Here is an 18,922-nt window from a genome sequence, read left to right as displayed (position 1 = left end):
TGGTAGCTATTTTGGCTCAGTTTGGTATGGATGTTTCTTGTCAAGATGTTTTACATTTTCCTAAGTGTCTTTTACTCAGTATTAATTATAAAATATTTAGATCAATGCTTAAACCTGTCTTGTGTCATTTTTACATTGTTCTAAAACATCAGCCCCAATATTAAGTACTTGTTTCATTTAGTGAGGGAATTTTGGCTCTAAAATTTACGAGAATTGATGAAAAAGAATAAAGAAGAGCCTCACTTAGCCTAGTGAGTGGAACATGAACACCCCAACTTATTTAGGGCTTCAGTTTTATGGATTTTTTTTTTTTTGAGACGGAGTCTCGCTCTGTTGCCCAGGCTGGAGTGCAGTGGCATGATCTCGGCTCACTGCAAGCTCTGCCTCCCGGGTTCACGCCATTCTTCTGCCTCAGCTTCTCGAGTAGCTGGGACTACAGGTGCCCGCTACCACACCTAGCTAATTTTTTGTATTTTTTTAGTAGAGATGGGGTTTCACCATGTTAGCTAGGATGGTCTCGATCTCCTGACCTCGTGATCCACCCATCTCGGCCTCCCAAAGTGCTGGGATTACAGGCGTGAGCCACCGCGCCCGGCCAGTTTTATGGATTTTTTTGCCTTCCTTTTGGTGAGTAATGATTAGGGTGAGGAAATTGCTAATGTAACAGAGACATCAGATCCAGAATTCCAACGAACCTGAATGAGCCCTGGTGTGGAACAGCCGTGAGCCTGTCCACGTTTTTCTCCTGATCTCTGCTTTTCATTAGTAATGAATTTCCACTCCTTCTCCCCTTTCATGACAAATCAGTACAGTGAATGTAATTGCCACATCCAGCGATGCATCATCTTCCCACTTTTCTAGGCTGCAGAGAAGGAAGCAGCCCTTGTGCAGCAAGAAGAAGAAAAGGCTGAACAACGGAAAAGAGCTCGGGCTGAGAAGAAAGCGTTAAAAAAGAAGAAAAAGATCAGAGGCCCAGAGAAGCGCGGAGCAGATGAGGATGATGAGAAAGAGTGGGGCGATGATGAAGAAGGTAAGGAGCTCTTGAGAAATTGTGTTTTGAAACGTCTTAAAGTTAGAGAAGTTGCGAATACAGTATGAAGAACTTTCTTCCCTGAACCGTTACCAGCTTGATACCCATTACCCTTTGATCACTGTTAGGGTGTATGTCTTGCAAACAAGGGGCCCTCTTCTACATGACTAGAATGCAGCCATCAGAGCCGGGGTTAGCAATGAGCTATGGGTTCCCATTTATCCTGATAATGTCCTTTGTAGTGAAAGGATCCGGTTCAGGATGCACTATTGTGTTTAGTTGTCCTGTCTCCTGGATCTCCTTGAGTCTGGAGCACTCCTCAGCTTTTTTTTTTTACTCTGATGACCTGCAGTCTTGTAAGGGGGCAGGCCAGTTGCTGTGTTGTGCCCCTCAGCCTGGGTGTGTCTGATGCTCCCTAAGCATTGGATTCCACTCATGCATCTCGGGCAGGAATAGTGCACAAGTGCTCCTGTGGCCTGCCCATTGAGTCCCATCAGGTGGACTGTGATTCGCTTTGTTCCATCACTGGTGATGACCCTTTTGAGAATTATTTATGCTGATTCTCTACTTATCCCAGGTTTGGCTAGCAAGAGTTCCTTCACACAGGCTTCTATGTCCCTTTGACCTGTCCCCTTGTTCTTTGATCATTTCCTTACCTTCTAGCACACAATACCCAAGGGTCATCTTATACTTTCCATAACTCAGCCCTGGAATCCATCATTTCTCCAAGGTTCCTTTGAGTGATGAGTGGTATTTAGAAGGTGCTAGTTGTGCTCACTGCTGTTGGTTATTGTTCTGAGGCCTGAGTGGTCGAGGGTAGGGAGTGTGTGTGTGTGTGCGTGTGCGTGTGCATGTGTACACATATTTATGACCATATTTACTTGTGTAACTATTTGTATATACTGAAAGTCATGATTTCACACCAATACCTCCAGTTCCGGTCTAACACCACAGGGTTCCCCTTCACACTTGCAATGCCCTTCTCTCTCTTTTTAAAATTTATTTATTCATTTATTTTTGAGACAGAGTCTCGCTTTGTTGCCCAGGCTGGAGTGCAGTGGGGTGATCTTGGCTCACTTCAACCTCCGCTTCCCGGGTTCAAGTGATTCTTGTGCCTCAGCCTCTCAAGTAGCTGGGATTACAGGCATGCACCATCATACCTGGCTAATTTTTTGTATTTTTAGTAGAGATCAGGTTTCGCCATGTTGGCCAGGCTGGTCTTGAACTTGTGGCCTCAAGTGATCTGTCTGCCTCGGCCTCCCAAAGTGCTGGGATTACAGGTGTGAGCCACTGTGCCCAGCTGTGTCACGCCCTTCTCTGACCTTGAGAAACTTGGCTCCCTCTATTCTCAGCATCCTCAGTTACTCCACCCGGCCCCTGTAGGTATGTAATCAACTTCCTGTGCCTGCCTCCCCTTCTCATATGTGCCATCCCCACCCTGTTTGGTCTCCCACACCCGGGGCCAGGCACGGCCCTGCATGGACACCCTTGCTTCTTTCACTCAGGCTTCCAGATCTAGGCTGCTGGGTCCCTGTCACTGCCCCATGCCTGCCTGTCTTCTTCCTTCCATTCAGGCTCTAGCATCCCGCACCACTGCTGCAGCCCCAACCCTGCACAGACCTGCCAGGCTTGGCCCTACTTTTTTTTTTTTTTTTTTTTGAGAGGGAGTCTCGCTCTGTCGCCCAGGCTGGAGTGCAGTTGCGTGATCTCGGCTCACTGCAACCTCCGCCTCCTGGGTTCAAGTGATTCTCTTCCTTCAGCCTTCCAAGTAGCTGGGATTACACTTTGCCAGCCACCATGCCCAGCTAATTTTTGTATTTTAGTAGAGACGGGGTTTCACCATGTTAGCCAGGCTGGTCTTGAACTCCTGACCTCAAGTGATCCTCCCGCCTTGGCCTCCCAAAGTGCTGTTATTACAGGCATGAGACACTGCACCTGGCCTTGGCCCTGCTTTTAATGGTTCTGACTTAGTGGAATTTTCCAGCAGTGTTTCTTTCACCCTTGTAATTTCAGGGACGGGCAGCTCTGGGTCATATTTATTTCAGAGAGTCAGTCAAGGTAAAGAATTGTCTCTGGTGGCTGGGCGCGGTAGCTCATGCCTGTAATCCCAGCACTCTGGGAGGCTGAGGTGGGCGGATCACCTGAGGTCAGGGGTCAAGATCAACCTGGCCAACATGGTGAAAACCTGCCTCTACTAAAAATACAAAAATTAGTTGGCTGTGGTGGCGGGTGCCTGTTTTCCCAGCTACTCGGGAGGCTGAGACAGGAGAATTACTTGAGCCCGGGAGGCAGAGGTTGCAATGAGTAGAGATCATGCCGTTGCACTCCAGCCTGGGAGAGAGAGCAAGACACTGTCTCAAAAACAAAACAAAACAAAAAAAAGAATTGTCTCTGGACTTGAAAGGACTCTGTATACTTTCTTAATACAGATGTGTGAGCCAGAGAGAACTGGGAATGGAGTCATCCATCGTTGAGTTGACCTTGCTTGCACACCTTGTTTGGGCTTTCCTAAATGACTGAGGATGGCTCATTGCTCCACTGGCCTCCCAGTTTGGCAGAATAAGGCAAATGTGATGTGTGACCGCAGTGGTGTGTGATCAGGGCATGGCGTGTGATCAGGACTGTGGGAGATGGCATTGTTAATACTGGTGGAGGCCAAAGAAGGCACTAGTGGGTCAACTTCGTACCAGGAAGACTGTGGGGGAAGAGATGCGGCATCCAGGGGGAAGACCGAGTGACTGTGGCAGCGAGAAGGGAAGGTCTGAGCTACACAGGGAGGAGCCAATGTTAGTACAGCCTGAAGGCACAGCACAGCCTGGCATTTTCTGTGAGCAGCAGATAATTGGGTTTGAACTCAGATGCATTAGAGAGGGGTGGGGCAGTGGTCGAGGAGGCTGGAGTGGTAGGTGGGCCAGTCAGCTGGACCCAGCCCAGGGACACTCTTGAATACAGTAGCAGTGTGCAGGGCTTACGTTGCATTGGAAAGGCAGCGGGTGAACTGATGGGGAGGTCTGTTTGCCGGAGGCTGATGTCTGTTGAGCTTCAGTACTGGCCCTCTGGAGGCAGTGGTGAGGACAGACTGCAGTAGAAGATTGTGGTTAAGCTCTCTTAAGGACACAAGGCCATATTGAAAGTGTTTTAGAAACCACAGATCCTTTGTAGTGCTTTCCAAAATGTGCTCCCTGGGGCACGGGTATCAGTCACTAGGGTGCTTTTCCAGTGCAGATTCTCATGTCCTATCCCAACCCTGCTGATCTGGGCTTTGTAGGAGAGGGGCCCTGGAATTTGCCTTCTGAACTTTGAGATCCACTGACCTTTTGTATAATTAAGAGTGGACAATGGGGATTTATGTTATTACTTCCACTTGATTGAGCCCACTTACCCGAGTGTAATTGGGGCACAGAAAGTCGTGGGACAGGTCAGGCGGATCACAAAAGACTTCTCGGGGTGGTGCTTGCCCCTCCGAGTCTGGTGAGGGAGTAAGTGTCACATGCAGCTGTCACAGCACTTTCACTTCACACCTCTGTTCAAGCTCCCTGAAGAGAAGTAACAGTTAACCATGGCTACTTTTCTTTTGAAAACCTGTAGAGCAGCCTTCCAAACGCAGAAGGGTCGAGAACAGCATCCCTGCAGCTGGAGAAACACAAAATGTAGAAGTAGCAGCAGGGCCCGCTGGGAAATGTGCTGCCGTAGATGTGGAGCCCCCTTCGAAGCAGAAGGAGAAGGCAGCCTCCCTGAAGAGGGACATGCCCAAGGTGCTGCACGACAGCAGCAAGGACAGCATCACCGTCTTTGTCAGCAACCTGCCCTACAGCATGCAGGAGCCGGACACGAAGCTCAGGCCACTCTTCGAGGCCTGTGGGGAGGTGGTCCAGATCCGACCCATCTTCAGCAACCGTGGGGATTTCCGAGGTTACTGCTACGTGGAGTTTAAAGAAGAGAAATCAGCCCTTCAGGCACTGGAGATGGACCGGAAAAGTGTAGAAGGGAGGCCAATGTTTGTTTCCCCCTGTGTGGATAAGAGCAAAAACCCCGATTTTAAGGTAGGTTTATGGAAAAAAAGAATGCCTTTCATCTGTGGTTGCTTTAGACAGGCACTTTCTTCCTGCAGCAGTGATATTTAGGATAGACATGGAAGTTTTACGCTCTGTTTGGATCTAAACTTCCTTGTGAGCCAAGGTCCATCCTGAGCCGGTTGACTGAGGTCTGACTCATGGCATGGCTCCTTCTTGCTGGGTGCTTAGCAATGACAAGGGACTGTGCTGAATGCTTTATGTGTGTCAGCTCATTGACTCCTCATGAGACTCTGTGAATGGTTACTTTTATTCTTGCCGTTTTACAGAGGAAGACATGGAGGCCTGGAGAGGTTAAGTGACTCGCTCCGGTGGCCCCATTAACAAGTTTCAGAGCATGGCTTGGCTCTAGTCTGCCTGGCTGGGCTGCTCATGGGGACAAGGCTGGTGTCAGAGGAGTCAGGTGAGCTGGGTCATGCCTCGAATCATGGTTTTTCTCTGTCTTCCTTCTTCCTATAGGTGTTCAGGTACAGCACTTCCCTAGAGAAACACAAGCTGTTCATCTCAGGCCTGCCTTTCTCCTGTACTAAAGAGGAACTAGAAGAAATCTGTAAGGCTCATGGCACCGTGAAGGACCTCAGGCTGGTCACCAACCGGGCTGGCAAACCAAAGGTCAGAGTCAGAGCAGATTGTGCCTTGTCTTCAAGGCTTGGGCAAACTTCGTTTCTGTATCGGTTCAAAGATGATTTAACCTCTAGAATGGGTTCCTAGTTTGTCTGCTGAGAAACAAAAGTTAATTTCACAGAAAGATCTGCACTTAGCTCTACTTATATTTGGAGTCAGATTAACCTGTTTGTAGTTAATTGTACTAAAAAGAATAAGACACTTGGAAATAGAGGATCATGAATTCACCACACTATGGCCCCTGGCTGTGGGGCTTGGGGGAAGCCCTGTGACCAGCAGCATACGGGCTTTGGGGTGGGCGCCCTCCTGCAGCCTTCTCCCTCTGTCCCAGGCCTCTCTTTCTCTGGGGCCTCCAACCAGGCCCCTTGAGTCCCTCCATTGCAGTGCCTCTTCTCCTGTCTTTCCTTCTTGCCCCCTCAGTCTCCTGCTAAGTCCTTTTGTGCCCCATTTTGAGTAGTAAGTGGTTTCATTACTGTCTACCCACTGCCCACTCTCCCTCCCCTTTATCCAGGTTAATGGAGAGAAAAAGAGGATGAAATGAGGGAGCGGGTGAAGGCACAGAAACACGAGGGCTCACCTGGGCACCTGGGCTGCTGGCCCTGTGTCCCATCCACCTCTTGGTTTATTTGCTGGATTTATACTGGTCCATCTGTCTTTTTCCTTCTTTCTTTCTACTTCTGCAGCACGTACAAGGTGTGCTGAACTTGGAAGGGTTATCTGAAGTTACAGTGCATAGCAGCACTCGGGAAGGAGAGTAGGGTGGGGAAATAAGCCTGTAGACAGAGGATGCGGTGGTGGGGAAGGTAACCTGTTGGTGGGTCGTTTGCTGTGGCCTGGTCTGCTGGTCTCCGGGAGGAAGCCCAGTGCCTGCCCTGCAGGAGGAGGTTGCGTCCCTAGTCTGCGGGATCTGACTTGGTTCTGGATCTTGCCTCTTCCAGGGCCTGGCCTACGTGGAGTATGAAAATGAATCCCAGGCGTCGCAGGCTGTGATGAAGATGGACGGCATGACTATCAAAGAGAACATCATCAAAGTGGCAATCAGCAACCCTCCTCAGAGGAAAGTTCCAGAGAAGCCGGAGACCAGGAAGGCACCAGGTGGCCCCATGCTTTTGCCGCAGACATACGGAGCGTAAGTGCTTGCATGGTAGACTAGTGCAAACTTCGTCCTGGCTGGCACCAGTTCATGGATCACGGGGGGATTAACCCGGGATGAATTAGCTTCCTGTTAGGACAGAAAAGCCAAGATGTGCTGTTCCTTGTGGTAATCACTGTGGTTCCACTGGAGCAAGGCGTCCAGAGCAGGATGCAAGCCTAGGCAGTGACCTCTGCCTGGTACTGGCCAATTTACACTTGTCATTTATTTCAGACAGAAATAAGGCAGTGATTATTTTAAAGTCCCCTTTGCCAGTTGGATCTGTGTGTTTACAAAGAAATCTCATACCCATGTGTGTGCCAGTCTACGGCCCTAGCTATGATCCACATAAGCTGTGCTGTTCGCTGGTTTGGGATGAGGAGGAGATAGCAGAATTGCCAGGTGACTGGTGAGGTCTGAGAGGTGATAGTCACACTGATCCCCTCTGAGTGTGACTGGTGCTCAGGGTTGATCTTTGCCAAAACTGAACAAGGCCAAGTCTGTTGAAGCAGTTTTTACTTCATAAACAGAATTAAGGAGGCAGGGATTATCTTATCCTTTTTTTTTTTCACCTTTTAACTTCTGGTTATATTAAAACTGTCTTGGCTTATTTTCACAAATAAATGAGGGGCCACGAATTGTTGCTTCAAAAGGTCCATTCAGTGTTTGCTCTTTTAGGAGGGGGAAGGGAAGGACGCAGCTGTCTCTACTGCCTCGTGCCCTGCAGCGCCCAAGTGCTGCAGCTCCTCAGGCTGAGAACGGCCCTGCCGCGGCTCCTGCAGTTGCCGCCCCAGCAGCCACCGAGGCACCCAAGATGTCCAATGCCGATTTTGCCAAGCTGTTTCTGAGAAAGTGAACGGGACGCTGGGAGACAGGAAATGCCTTACTTCACTCTGGCCCGGCGGACCTCCCACCACCCAGCAGTGCACTGGGGATGGACAGGCCTGGTGTGCTGCGTGCTCGCAACCACAGATGGCTCCTCGGCTTTAGACAGAAAGGGGAAGGGGTTCTAAGTCAAGAGCCTTTCAGTGCTCCCTCATATTGAGGGCAGTGGCAGAAAAGTGACCACTCTGCAGGCTGGGCCCAGGATGTGGTGTCCTGAGATAGTTTTGTATCTTAAAGACTGAGGCACAGAAGCGAAACGAGAACACACTGTTTTTGAGACACAGTTGTCCAAATGTTTCTGGCCAGCTCCGGCCCCTTTTTGTATGACACTTCTCTTCCACCCTGCACAGCACATGTGCCCGTCATTCTTTTAATTTTAAAAGATGAAATGGCAGATGCTAGTAATTCACAGAATGGCCTCTTGTGGGGGTGGGTCTGAGGGAAGTCAGCTATAAAACATTTGCTGGAGTTTTGTTCAATGGGGCTGTGCATTTTTATATTATGTGTTTGTAAATGACATGTCAGCCATTGTTTCATGTTTCCTAAAAGCAGAATATTTGCAACATTTGTTTTGTATAGGAATTATTTGTGCCACCTGCTGTGGACTGTTTTCTTTGCCTAGTGACTAGTGACCTGTGTTGTCTAAACATGAGTTTCAGCCCTTTGGTTTTGTTTAATACCATGTCAAATGCAAACTTCAATTCTCCCCATTTAGCTTTATTAAACTGACGTTCTCTTCAAAACTTCTTGCTGAATGGTACTCAGATGTGCATTCACATACAGATGTGTTTTGAAGTGGGTGTACCTTGCTTTACCTAATAGATGTGTAAATAGAACTTTTGTAAGTCAAATCCCATTGTCACTTTGATTTAAATTATTCCAGCTGTGATGTGTCTTCATTTTATAGCAGTTTGACACTGGAGCTTTTGAGCTTTTTTACCTCACATCTTTTATCAAATAATATTTACTGCTTTGAAAACAGCAACAGCATTGGCCAGTTCAGTAGGGGAAGCTTGCTTTATTAAGACACTCTGGAGAAAGACGTCAGGGAATCCTTGTATATGTCGTGGGAATCAACTCCTCATTTATCTGTTGCGTAAGTTTAAGTTTTTGTGCATCAGTCGGGTTTTCTATATTTTTTTAACTTAACATTTTTTAATATAACCGATTAAAAAGTAGACAGAACAGTAAAATAAACTCCTGTGTGCCTACCATTCAGCTTCCAGCATTCCTCAACTCCCAGCCCCTCTTCCTTCATGTCTGTTTCCCCTCCACCCTCTGTTATATTGAGGCACGTTCCAGATGTCATTGTGCTCATCCAGTAATGTTGCGGCAGGTGTCTCAGGAGGACTGAAAGGCCTTCACTCCTAGAAACATTAGTGGTAATCCCTTCATGTCATCAACTGTCCACTCAAATTTCCACCTTCCTACAAATATCAGCTCTCCTCCCTGTAAATTATTGGTTGGTAAGCCTCTTAAGTCTTAAAAGGTAGGTTCCCCTCCATCTCTTTTTTATACAAAACCAACTTTTTACTAGGCTTTACTTCTGAATTAAATTCAAGCGGCGGCTATTGACAGCAGCAAGAACCTTTGCTGTCCCACGCGTTCCTCCTGCAGTGTTCTCTGTGATGCTGCTTGGAAGGCTGATGGACTGTTCAGCTGGTGTGATGATTTGGGTAGCTCAGAGCCCTCATGGTTGGGGACCTGACACATGAAGAGCCCTGAATATCACTATGGGTGAGTGTGGCCTTACTTTTTGCTGCTTCACATTAACGGTTTGGCTTTGCCTGCAGCCAGTATTCTGACCTTAATGTCACACTTGCAGATGTCAGCCCAGGCTTGGTACAGGGGCAAACCTTTTCAGGCTTGAGCAGAACCCAGTTAGGTTCCGGGTGTTGACTGTTCTAGAAATGGATTTCCAGGACTACATGAGTGGGTTTGTGTGTTTTCCCCAGAAAATCCAGAACTGATGATAAATAGAAATGTGAAAAACTACTTCAGTTACTTGACTGTTTGTTAGTAAAAAAAAATCAGTAATTCATCCTTGCCCACCTAGGTAGGCGGTTTATCCAACTTCTGGGTCTCTTGCCCATGGAAATCACCATCTTGGATCTGTTGCTCTCCCAGAACAGTATTATGAATAGGGCTAAAGGTCAGAATACCCCCACTGCCCTTATGACAGATGGGAACATCTCCCAAATAAGACAGTCTCAAGCATTCATGTAATAAAATAACTTTATTAGAATCAGGAATTTGTTAAAATAATATCCTTCACATATAGCTAAAGTGCAAATTCTCTTGCTCTGTAGTAGAAGCAAGCACATCTGTCAGACCTCCGTGGTGTGCTTATAAAACCAAGACGAGAAGAGTTTTAAGAAGTACCTCTGGCAGCATAAGAGTACGAAAACACATTTTATAAAGGTTTGAACAATTATCATTTGGAGCCATTTCATATATCGTGTATGTCTTTTCACTTATTTTTCTTAACCTTTCAAAAACTACTCTGTGCTATTTATACAACTGAAGAACTGTATAAACTACTTTAGAGCAGTGGCCTCATTACTGTCAGGAACGGAATTACCAAATCAAAGAGACAACACTGCGTATTCGCCATCACTCACACACTGACAAAGTGCAGTAGTGTTAGACATCATGGGCTCTGTCACTGGGAAAGGGACCCAGTGACTTCCACCTCTCTGACTCTAAATAGCAGCAGTCATATTGGCACCTGTACCATATGATTCAAAGAGAAGATTCTACTTCCATTGGATGACAGCTTGGAAACCCGGCCATATTACATAGAGCACTACATCATTTCACAAGTTGCGAGAAAAATAAGGCCACTCCGAGGCAATCTCTTCTGCCTCCCAGGGGGATGGGACACGGGACAGTGCAAAGACCGTGGAAGATGGCAGTAAGTAGATGAAACTCCAGGACCAAAGGGATGCAGCCTGGCCATGGCTGAAGGTTTTTGCTCCATTCAGTAGAAACTGGTGCTCTAATTCATTATCAAAAATGCTTACTTGGTGTCCACATGGCACTTGTTTTCTCAGGTTAACATCTGCCTACAGAAAACTCAGGCAGAGGGGTGAGGGCAGATGCCTACTAGCATAACACCTGGTTTGCAGCACGATACAGGTGGAATGACAAGCCCAGAGAATTTCAGACGAAAACATCTGGCCTGAGTTGCTACAAATGAAGTGTGAGAGAAACGCGGATACACAAAGAAAACCAAACTGCCCGCCCACCATGTTTCCCCCTCCAACATACAGCTCTTTATGGCTACCCCCTATTCTTAATTAGAAAAATAGTCTCAATATGAAAAAAAAAAAAAAAAAAACAGCTGCTGGCACTAAAGTTTGCAAACTATGGCTCAAAAAGTCTTCCTGCAGGTAAGTAAGGAATGTCGGCATTCATTTTCTCTTCTATGAAGTTTGCTTGGAAGTTAGTCACCACTAATCTAAACCTTGAGAAAGTGAGCTTTCAACCATTTCTCTCAGCTGCGACTTGGGTCTGACTTCCCAGTTGCAGTCACAGAACCTCTCAGCCTGTTTCAGAGAAGCACTTGGAGGAGTTATGTCAGTGGCTCTGGGCCCCGTCCCACACCTCTTGGCCGCTCCTCCACCTTAGTGCAAATTCTGCTCCAGAACCTTTGTTCTGGTCACATGGTGGCACTGTTGCCCCTAAAGCACGGCCACCAGCAAGACACAGCAGACACCATACAATACTGACTAGCTTGCTCCAAAGAAGAAAATAAATAGCTTGGTTGAATTATAAGTTATTTTAGAGACAAGGCTTCATAACTTAGTTTTTTTTTTTTTTTAAAACTAAAACATTTGGAGGTAAAGAATGTTTCTCCTTTTGCTTTAGGAAGTGACTAGGTTTCTAGAAATGCTGTTTCTTTTTTTTTTTCCTACCTCAGGACAGCCTTTGTCACTGAGGATTTCTAGGGTTAGGGCTTCACAGGAAGCGTCTCCTTGAACCCAGAGTGGTTGGGTTGGGCTTCTGGCAGTGCCACCGAGTACTCAGTTGTGGCAAAAAGCAGGGTGTCCAGGGTGGTCTCAGTACACTTGGCGATGAAGCGAATGAAAGGCCTCACGTCGCCCTCGTTGGCAGCTTCCAACACGTGGTAGTAGTCGGACCGCTGCTCCTTGCGGATGGTGATGGGCGGGTAGCCCGCCTGCATGAGGATGAGGTTCATGAGCAGACGGGAGGTCCTCCCGTTGCCATCAATGAAAGGGTGGATGTAAACGAGTTTATAATGGGCTAAGGCTGCAAACTCCACTGGGTGCAGGTTCATGGCTTCCTCGGAGTTGAGCCACTGTACAAACTCCTGCATCTGCTTTTCCACATCCTGCGGATGGGGAGGGATGTGGTGTCCGACCAGGACCTGTGTTGTCCGAAACCTGCCGGCTTCCACGGGGTCCACGTAGCCCAGCACCCGCCTGTGGATCTCCAGCACGTCGCTGATGGTGACGGAGCCGATGCGCGAAACCAGAGTCGTGTTGATGTACTTCATGGCTGCATGCATGCCTATGACCTCGTTCTGCTCCTCCAGGCTCTTCCCGGGCACGGCGTAGCGGGTCTCCAGGATGTGCCTGATTTCCGAGAGGGTGAGGGTGTTGCCCTCGATGGCCACTGTGTGGTAGATGTGATGGTAGTAGGTCTCCTCCATGACCCTGCGCAGAGCTGAGTTCCCCTTGGGGATGGACATGACCTTCTTCACTTTGCTGTCGATGATGCTGAAATACCTCTGGTCGATCTCTTCCACAAGAGGCAGTGTCCGATCGCGGTTGACCAGTGCTTTCTCATGGTAGGGTGAGATGGTCAATGCTCTGGTGTACAAGTAGTCCGCCTGGATGATGTCCTTGTCTTCTTCCGAGAAGATGCCAAACTCGGTGAGCGCGTCCACGAAGTCCGGGTCCATCTTGAGGGCGTGCATGAAGAGCTTTTGGGCTTTTTCCCGCTTGCCCTGGCGCTTCATCTCCAGGGCCTGGTTCAGGGCAGCTCTGGCTTCCAACTTACCCGCTGGAAGAGAGCCAAAGAAGCGCTGTGAGGGAGGGAGGCTAGGGGGCAGAGGACATTCGGGGGGCTGTCCCCTGTGCTGGTCTCCGCAGGAAACCATGATGACCAGCCTGTGTCCCTGGCCTTGAGGAGCTTGTTGCAGCCGCATCGTGTGTACTCAACATGCCCGGTACCACTCTGTTGCCCCAGCCGTGTGGTGGTATGCAGTCACTATCCGTGTGTCCCCAGAGCCACTCTCTTGTATTCTGGGAGGCACCTCCTTGGCTTCCTAGCCTCCTGCTTTCTGGACATAGAAAGTTCTAGGCATTTACTTCGCCTGGGCCCTCTCTGCTGGGCCTTTCCTGTGGGCCACAGCTCCCAGTGTAGGCCGTCTCCTACATCTCCAGCTCATCTTGTGCTGGTGACACAGGTTCCTGCCCCGGGAGGCCCAAAGGCGTTAACAACTCCCCACTCTTCCTAGACCCTGGGGGCGTCAACCATCCCGGGACTGTTCTTTAACTCTTTTAACCCAGTGGTTTGATTGTGCGCCCCAGGGGACATTTGGTGACGTCTGGAGACCTGGTTAGTTGTCATAACTGAGGAGGTGGAGGGAGTGCTACAGGCATCTCATGGGGAGAGGCCAGGGATGCCACCACCATCTAACAATGCACTTTCAGTCCCCACCACAGAGAACTGGTGGAGGTGGGGAGCCTGCTCTAGCCCTAGCCCTCCTGTCCTGGCCCCTCTTGGCCACCTGAGGATCAGCCCCACACATTCAACTTCCTTTAGTTCCTCGAATGCCCCCAGGCTCTCTTACGACAGTTATGTCAGTTATGACAACTAACCTCTGGTCTCTGCCTGGAGTCCTTTTCCTTGGATGCCCTTCACCCTGGATGACTCCTACTTAACAACTGGGTCCCAGCTCAGGTGTCACTTCCTCCAGGGAGCCTTCCTGGTATGCTCCTACAGCCCTTTATGCTTCCCCATCACCACACTTGTGACACTGTCTCAGTCACATCACCTTGTCTATACTAGGAGCTCAGGGCTGACTTGTTCACAATACCCCGATGCCCCACATACAGGACATGACACATTCTATGTCTGTCTATCCAGTTAACAAGCATTGAGGAAGACGGCCAGTCTGTCTTACCTGGAGAGGCCTTGGTCTTGGCCACCAGCAGCGTCGCGCCCCTGGAGGTGATGCTGAGCTCCGTGGACGGGCTGGTGCACTTGGTGGCGGCATGCTGCGCCCTGTCCGGTTTGCTCCTGAGCAGGTAGAGGCCTTTGAGCACAGCCAAGCACTGCTCCTCCACAGCCCCCAGCGGCAGCAGCAGGGCCAGCAGGGACCCCAGCACCATGCTCAGCAGCGTCACCCAGAGGAAGCGGCTCCAGACCGAGACCCATTTCGGTTCAGTCACCGCCATCACTGAAGCCATTGGTATGAGCATCATCTGGACTCAGGAGAGGGCCCTTTGCGCATGTCCACAGGCGGCTGAGAGAGAGCAGGATCTGCAAGGAGCCAAGAGTCGCAGGAGAAACAGACACGTTCAGGACATAGTGTGACTTCAGCTGGGAAGATGGGTTTGGAGACTTCTGCTCTTTTAGCTCACTAGAGAGATGGGGTGGGGGCAAGTCAAGGACTGGATCTCACTAGAGGAGGGGCCAGCCTAGAAGGACTGGTGCCACCTCCTGGGCAGTATGAATGTGAAAACACTGCTGTGGTCCAACAATTAATGAGCACTTGCCATAATCCAGGCCGTGTGCTAAGCACCAAATGCCTCACATGGGTCACCTCCTGCAATCTTCAACGACTTGAGCTGATGTTTTCACCCTTCTCCAGGTGAGGGAACTGAGGTTCAGAGAGGTGAAGTCCCTTGCCGAAAGTCTCGCCGGGAGCAAGTGACAGCCTTAGGACTTGAACTCAGGAACCCCACGGCTCTAAAGTGTCCCCCCTTCCCATATATCCCTGTGGCTTCTGACCACAAACACTGGATTTGTGGACATATGTCAAACATTTGGGACATAAATGACTGACAGACACCCAGGCAGATCAGCCACAGCAGTTCTGACGCCCAATCTTTGATAAGCACAATTGTTGGGTGGCCTCATTTATTGCCCTCACCCTGATATTCAGCCACAGCTCCCACAGTGCCCTTCCCCTCTCTGGCCTTCCATTTCTGGCCTGTCCAGAAGGGACCCCATCAAGAAGATGAGCAGTTCGAGCATCTCGAAAGGAACTCAGGCTGTGGGCCACAGTGCTTGGCCTCAGTGACAACATGGCTTGTATGTGCTTGGGGCTGGCAGTGGGAGTGGAGGTGGGGCCAGGCATGCAAACACTATGCTAACAATAAGCACTTATTAAGCAACTATGGTGTCCTAGGTGCTGAGCAGTGTACTGGCCACGCATTGCCTCGTTTCACCCTCATGCCACCCTATGAAGGAAGAGCTACCGCTAGCTCCATTTTACAGACAAGGGAAACCAAGACACAGAGAGCATAAGTTAAATTCCAGAAGGCCCACAGGAGGTAAACAGAGGCATCCGGAAGGAAACCCCAGGGCCTCTGAACCCGGTCCCCAGGTCTCGATTTCTACCTTATTACTAAGCAGGGCCTGTGCACCTGCTCTGGGCTGGTCCTGACCCGGGAATGACTGATGGATCACGGGGTTCTGAGTCTCATGGGGATCCTGGCCCATTGCCACAGAACATGTGAAATGGCTTGGGGTGCGCTTTAATAGGGGTGCGCCTGGAGTGCTGCGCGGGTCCAGGGGTCTGGGCGGGCTTCCCGAGGGGACAGGCTCCTGGGCGGGGCGGTACAGGAAAGGGGGCAGTTCGCCGGTGCCAGGGGTGTGTGCAGGGAAGGAGTGCGTTCTGGGAGGCGCGAATCTCTCCCCCACACTTCCCTAGAAAGGGAGAACTGAGGCCCGGAGAGGGGAGGGGACCGGTCTGAGTCCCCTCCAAGACTGCAGAGCCTCCCTTCCCGAACCCCGCCCAGGGCTCGCGGCCCCGTCGCACCCTTCCCGGCTTCATCCTCTCGAGCCCCTAGGGCTTTTCCCCTTCTCACCGCGCGCAGCTGTCAGAACCCCAACCGCCTTCCCCGCGCTCCCAGCTCCGGGCCGCCGGCTCCCGGGTCCTCCTTCTCCGCCGGCCTCTGGCCCCGCCCCCGGCGACTTGCCATTGAACCGCCCGCAGCCCTCGTCGCGGCGGATTGGCTTTCCCCACTTGTCCTTCCCTCGCATTTCCGGGTTCCCGCGTCCGCGTCGGCTTCCCCGGGAAAGACGCGCCGTGGGCCACTCCCATTGGTTGTTGCTTGCGTTTGTCTCGTTCACGTAGCAGCCAATAAGCAGCGGGAGGGGCGGGGCCTAGGCCACAGGCAGGAGGAGCAGGTGCTGGAAACCCGATGGGCGTGCGGATTTGGGGCACACTAGGTGGCGGGCCCGGAAACTGGAAGTTCCACGGCGGTCTTTTCCTCGGGTCTCTTCGTCCCGGAGCCGCTGTCGTGTGCCTCATTTTTCCCGGTTGTGAAATGAAGATGCTGATGCTTTTCACCCCTTCACCCGGTTAGCCTGCTTGACTGCGCAGCCCCTGTTCTTAGCCTCCACCCCATGCTGCTGAGTTTGCCGCCTTCTTCTTCTTTACTCTTTTCCTCTCTGTGTCTTTTCCTCCCTGACTTAAACAACTTTTTTTTTTCTTATAAAATACAGGGTCTCGTTGTGTCGCCCAGGCTGGAGTGCGGTGGAGCAATTGCAGCTCACTGCAGCCTCCACCTCCTGGGCTCAAGCAATCCTCCCATCTCAGCCTCCCGAGTAGCTGGGACTACAGGTGCATGCCACCATGCCCGGCGAATTTTCTTTTCTTTTCTTTTCTTTCTTTCTTTCTTTTTTTTTCTCTCTCTCTGTCTTGCTTTCTTTCTTTTTTTTTGAGACGGAATCGCACTCTGTTGCCCAGGCTGGAGGGAAGTGGCACGATCTTGGCCCACTGCAACCTCCGCCTCCCAGGTTGAAGCGATTCTCCTGCCTCAGCCTCCCGAGTAGCTGGGATTACAGGCGCGCATCACCACGCCCGCCTAATTTGTGTATTTTTAGTAGAGATGGGGTTTCACCACGTTGGCCAGGCTGGTCTCGAACTCCTGACCTCAGAAGATTCGCCTGCCTCGGCCTCCCAAAGTGCTGGGATTACAGGCGTGAGCCATCGCGCCCGACCTATTTCTGATTTTTTATTTTCTTTAGAGACCGGGTCTCACTATGTCGCCCGGGCTGGTCTCGAACTCTTGACCTTAAGCTCTCCCTCCATCTCGGCTTCCCAAAGCGCTAAGATTACAGGCGCAAGCCACCCCCTCGGTTCTCCCTGACTTTTTAATTTGTATCCTCTCCAGAAGGACCTGGCTAGTTCTTTTGGCTTCCCAGAGAGAAATTTTTTCCTTGAAGCAGAGAATGGAAACCTCCATCTTAATCCACAAATACTGAAATTAAACATCTAGGGAGGTGCCCCAGAAACGCTAAGCATTTAGAAGTTAGCAGTTCAGATTCTGGGGAGTCAAAGAGACCTGAGCTCAAATTCAGACTTTGCCATTTACTCTCCGTGTCACCTTGGGCACGTTACTCCTAGCCTCACTTTCCCCACTTGTAAAATGGGGACAAACAGCCTACCTTGCTTTTGGCATCCAGTTCAGGATTTGCAGAAGGCTTGATGCTTCAAGATCTGACCTCCTCTGTGACGTGTATTGCTCTTGGAGGCAGGGCTAGGTGGTGGTTGTGGGGTGTCACTGTTGGGAGTCACACAGACCTGGGTTCAAATCCCAGTTCTGCCCCTTGCAAACTGAATCACATTCAGCAAGTGACTTGATCTTGTTGATCATCTGTCTAGGCTTTTCTGTAAACTGTGCACAGTGTGATGATATTACCACTTCACAAGGTTTTATGTGAGGGTGAAATGAGATTCTATACATCTGGCACAGAGCAAACTATCTATCTATCTATCTATCTATCTATCTATCTATCTATCTATCACCTATCTATCTTTTTTGAAATAGGATCTCACTCTGTTGCCCAGGCTGGAGTGCAGTGGCATGATCTTGGCTCACTGCAACCTCCATGTCCTGGGTTTAAGTGATCCTCCCATCTCAGCTTCCCTAGTAGCTGGGACTACAGGCACACACAGGCTAATTGTTTTTTTGTTTGTTTGTTTGTTTTTGAGACAGAGTCTTGCTCTGTCACCCAGGCTGGAGTGCAGTGGTGTGATCTTGGCTCACTGCAATCTCTACCTTCTGGGTTCAAGCGATTCTCCTGCGTCAGCCTCCTGAGTAGCTGGGATTACAGGCATGTGCCACTGCACCCGGCTAATTTTTTTGTATTTTTAATAGACACGGGGTTTCATTCTGTTGGCCAGGCTGGTCTTCAACTCCTGACCTCAAGTGGTCCACCTGCCTTGGCCTCCCAAAGTGCTGGGATTACAGGCTTGAGCCACCGCGCCTGGCCAGAAGATCCATAGTTTTTAAGGAACAAAATCAGGGTGGTGATTATTTTGGTGGCTTCTCGTTTTTAATCTTTTCAACCAAGGTCATAAACATTTTTCTCTTGGAGTCCTCTGAATTGCACTTCCTGATGGCCCAAGTAGTAATGTCATTGTAAAAACCTTCCCCAGAGGAGGGCCTGGTAGGCAGCCAGCTTATGGGTGACAGTATGTTAGAAAACAGTGAAGCTCTGGGGTCAGACAGATGTGCGTTGAAATGCAAGGCCCACCGCTTGCTGGCTGGGTGACCTTGAACAAGTCACTTATCCTCACTGAGCTGGGTATTAAGGGACTAGTGGACCCCTGTCCACACCCAGGTATAAAGCAATGTAGTCCTCTGCTTCTAAAGGCACCCTCCTCTCTTTGTTAAGTCTTTAATTAGCTTAGGCTACGAGTAGTAAATCCAGAGGCTATGCAGGAACTGCTAATGAGCAAAGCTTCCTGGCCATGAGACAATAGGTAGAGGTGGGGAGTATGGCAGATTTGAGAGCACATGCCTTGTCTAAAGTGGGCAGCAGCTTCTCAGCTCGAACCCGTATTTATTAGCTGGGATGCAGTCTAAAAGTGGATAGAGTTTTCAATTTTTCAAAATAAATGTGAGGCCTAGATTTTTTAAGCAGTATCTCCAGATTTTAAGGCAGTTGGCATGGCTGCCGGCTGGCTTT

The 18,922-nt window shown here is 49.8% G+C and overlaps 2 protein-coding genes across 4 annotated transcripts in view, besides 6 other annotated features; one reads left to right on the top strand and one right to left on the bottom strand.

The window, feature by feature from the left end:
- SART3 (spliceosome associated factor 3, U4/U6 recycling protein) overlaps nt 1-8,958 on the top strand; it is a 38,960-nt gene extending 30,002 nt beyond the window's left edge. For all 3 annotated transcript variants that reach the window (NM_014706.4, NM_001410983.1, XM_047429916.1), the window contains 5 exons: nt 862-1,030; nt 4,619-5,073; nt 5,563-5,715; nt 6,666-6,856; nt 7,538-8,958. In NM_014706.4, the coding sequence (NP_055521.1) occupies nt 862-1,030; nt 4,619-5,073; nt 5,563-5,715; nt 6,666-6,856; nt 7,538-7,715 (1,146 nt within the window). In that variant the 3' untranslated portion in view covers nt 7,716-8,958. The remainder of the gene's footprint in view (nt 1-861; nt 1,031-4,618; nt 5,074-5,562; nt 5,716-6,665; nt 6,857-7,537) is intronic.
- Nucleotides 5,377-6,576: an enhancer, noted in NCBI's record as "CDK7 strongly-dependent group 2 enhancer chr12:108918373-108919572 (GRCh37/hg19 assembly coordinates)". NCBI's record gives its function as "activates an origin of replication core promoter dependent on BRD2, BRD4, P300/CBP, MED14 and CDK7 cofactors, with strong dependence on CDK7, by STARR-seq in HCT116 cells {active_cell/tissue: HCT116}" and the evidence as "EXISTENCE:reporter gene assay evidence [ECO:0000049][PMID:35650434]".
- FICD (FIC domain protein adenylyltransferase) lies at nt 9,962-15,895 on the bottom strand. Its single transcript, NM_007076.3, has 3 exons — nt 15,811-15,895; nt 13,899-14,257; nt 9,962-12,772 (listed from the first exon to the last, which is right to left on the bottom strand). The coding sequence occupies exons 2-3, from the start codon at nt 14,197-14,199 to the stop codon at nt 11,697-11,699; spliced, it is 1,377 nt and encodes a 458-aa protein (NP_009007.2). The 5' UTR covers nt 14,200-14,257; nt 15,811-15,895; the 3' UTR covers nt 9,962-11,696.
- Nucleotides 13,460-13,960: an enhancer, noted in NCBI's record as "H3K4me1 hESC enhancer chr12:108910989-108911489 (GRCh37/hg19 assembly coordinates)". NCBI's record gives its function as "activates a minimal SCP1, AML or CMV promoter by ChIP-STARR-seq in naive H9 embryonic stem cells {active_cell/tissue: H9 hESC(naive)}" and the evidence as "EXISTENCE:reporter gene assay evidence [ECO:0000049][PMID:30033119]".
- Nucleotides 13,961-14,461: an enhancer, noted in NCBI's record as "H3K4me1 hESC enhancer chr12:108910488-108910988 (GRCh37/hg19 assembly coordinates)". NCBI's record gives its function as "activates a minimal SCP1, AML or CMV promoter by ChIP-STARR-seq in naive H9 embryonic stem cells {active_cell/tissue: H9 hESC(naive)}" and the evidence as "EXISTENCE:reporter gene assay evidence [ECO:0000049][PMID:30033119]".
- Nucleotides 14,173-14,272: an enhancer, noted in NCBI's record as "active region_6961". NCBI's record gives its function as "activates an Ori minimal core promoter by ATAC-STARR-seq in GM12878 lymphoblastoid cells {active_cell/tissue: GM12878}" and the evidence as "EXISTENCE:reporter gene assay evidence [ECO:0000049][PMID:35858748]".
- Nucleotides 16,364-16,423: an enhancer, noted in NCBI's record as "active region_6960". NCBI's record gives its function as "activates an Ori minimal core promoter by ATAC-STARR-seq in GM12878 lymphoblastoid cells {active_cell/tissue: GM12878}" and the evidence as "EXISTENCE:reporter gene assay evidence [ECO:0000049][PMID:35858748]".
- Nucleotides 17,920-18,105: a silencer, noted in NCBI's record as "fragment chr12:108906844-108907029 (GRCh37/hg19 assembly coordinates)". NCBI's record gives its function as "represses an EF-1alpha promoter that drives an FKBP-Casp9 reporter gene in an ReSE screen in K562 erythroleukemia cells {active_cell/tissue: K562}" and the evidence as "EXISTENCE:reporter gene assay evidence [ECO:0000049][PMID:32094911]".

Source organism: Homo sapiens, chromosome 12, assembly GCF_000001405.40.
Source record: "Homo sapiens chromosome 12, GRCh38.p14 Primary Assembly".
Lineage (NCBI taxonomy): Eukaryota > Metazoa > Chordata > Mammalia > Primates > Hominidae > Homo > Homo sapiens.
Note: the sequence above shows the minus strand (reverse complement) of the source record. Positions and strands in the feature narration are given on the sequence as shown.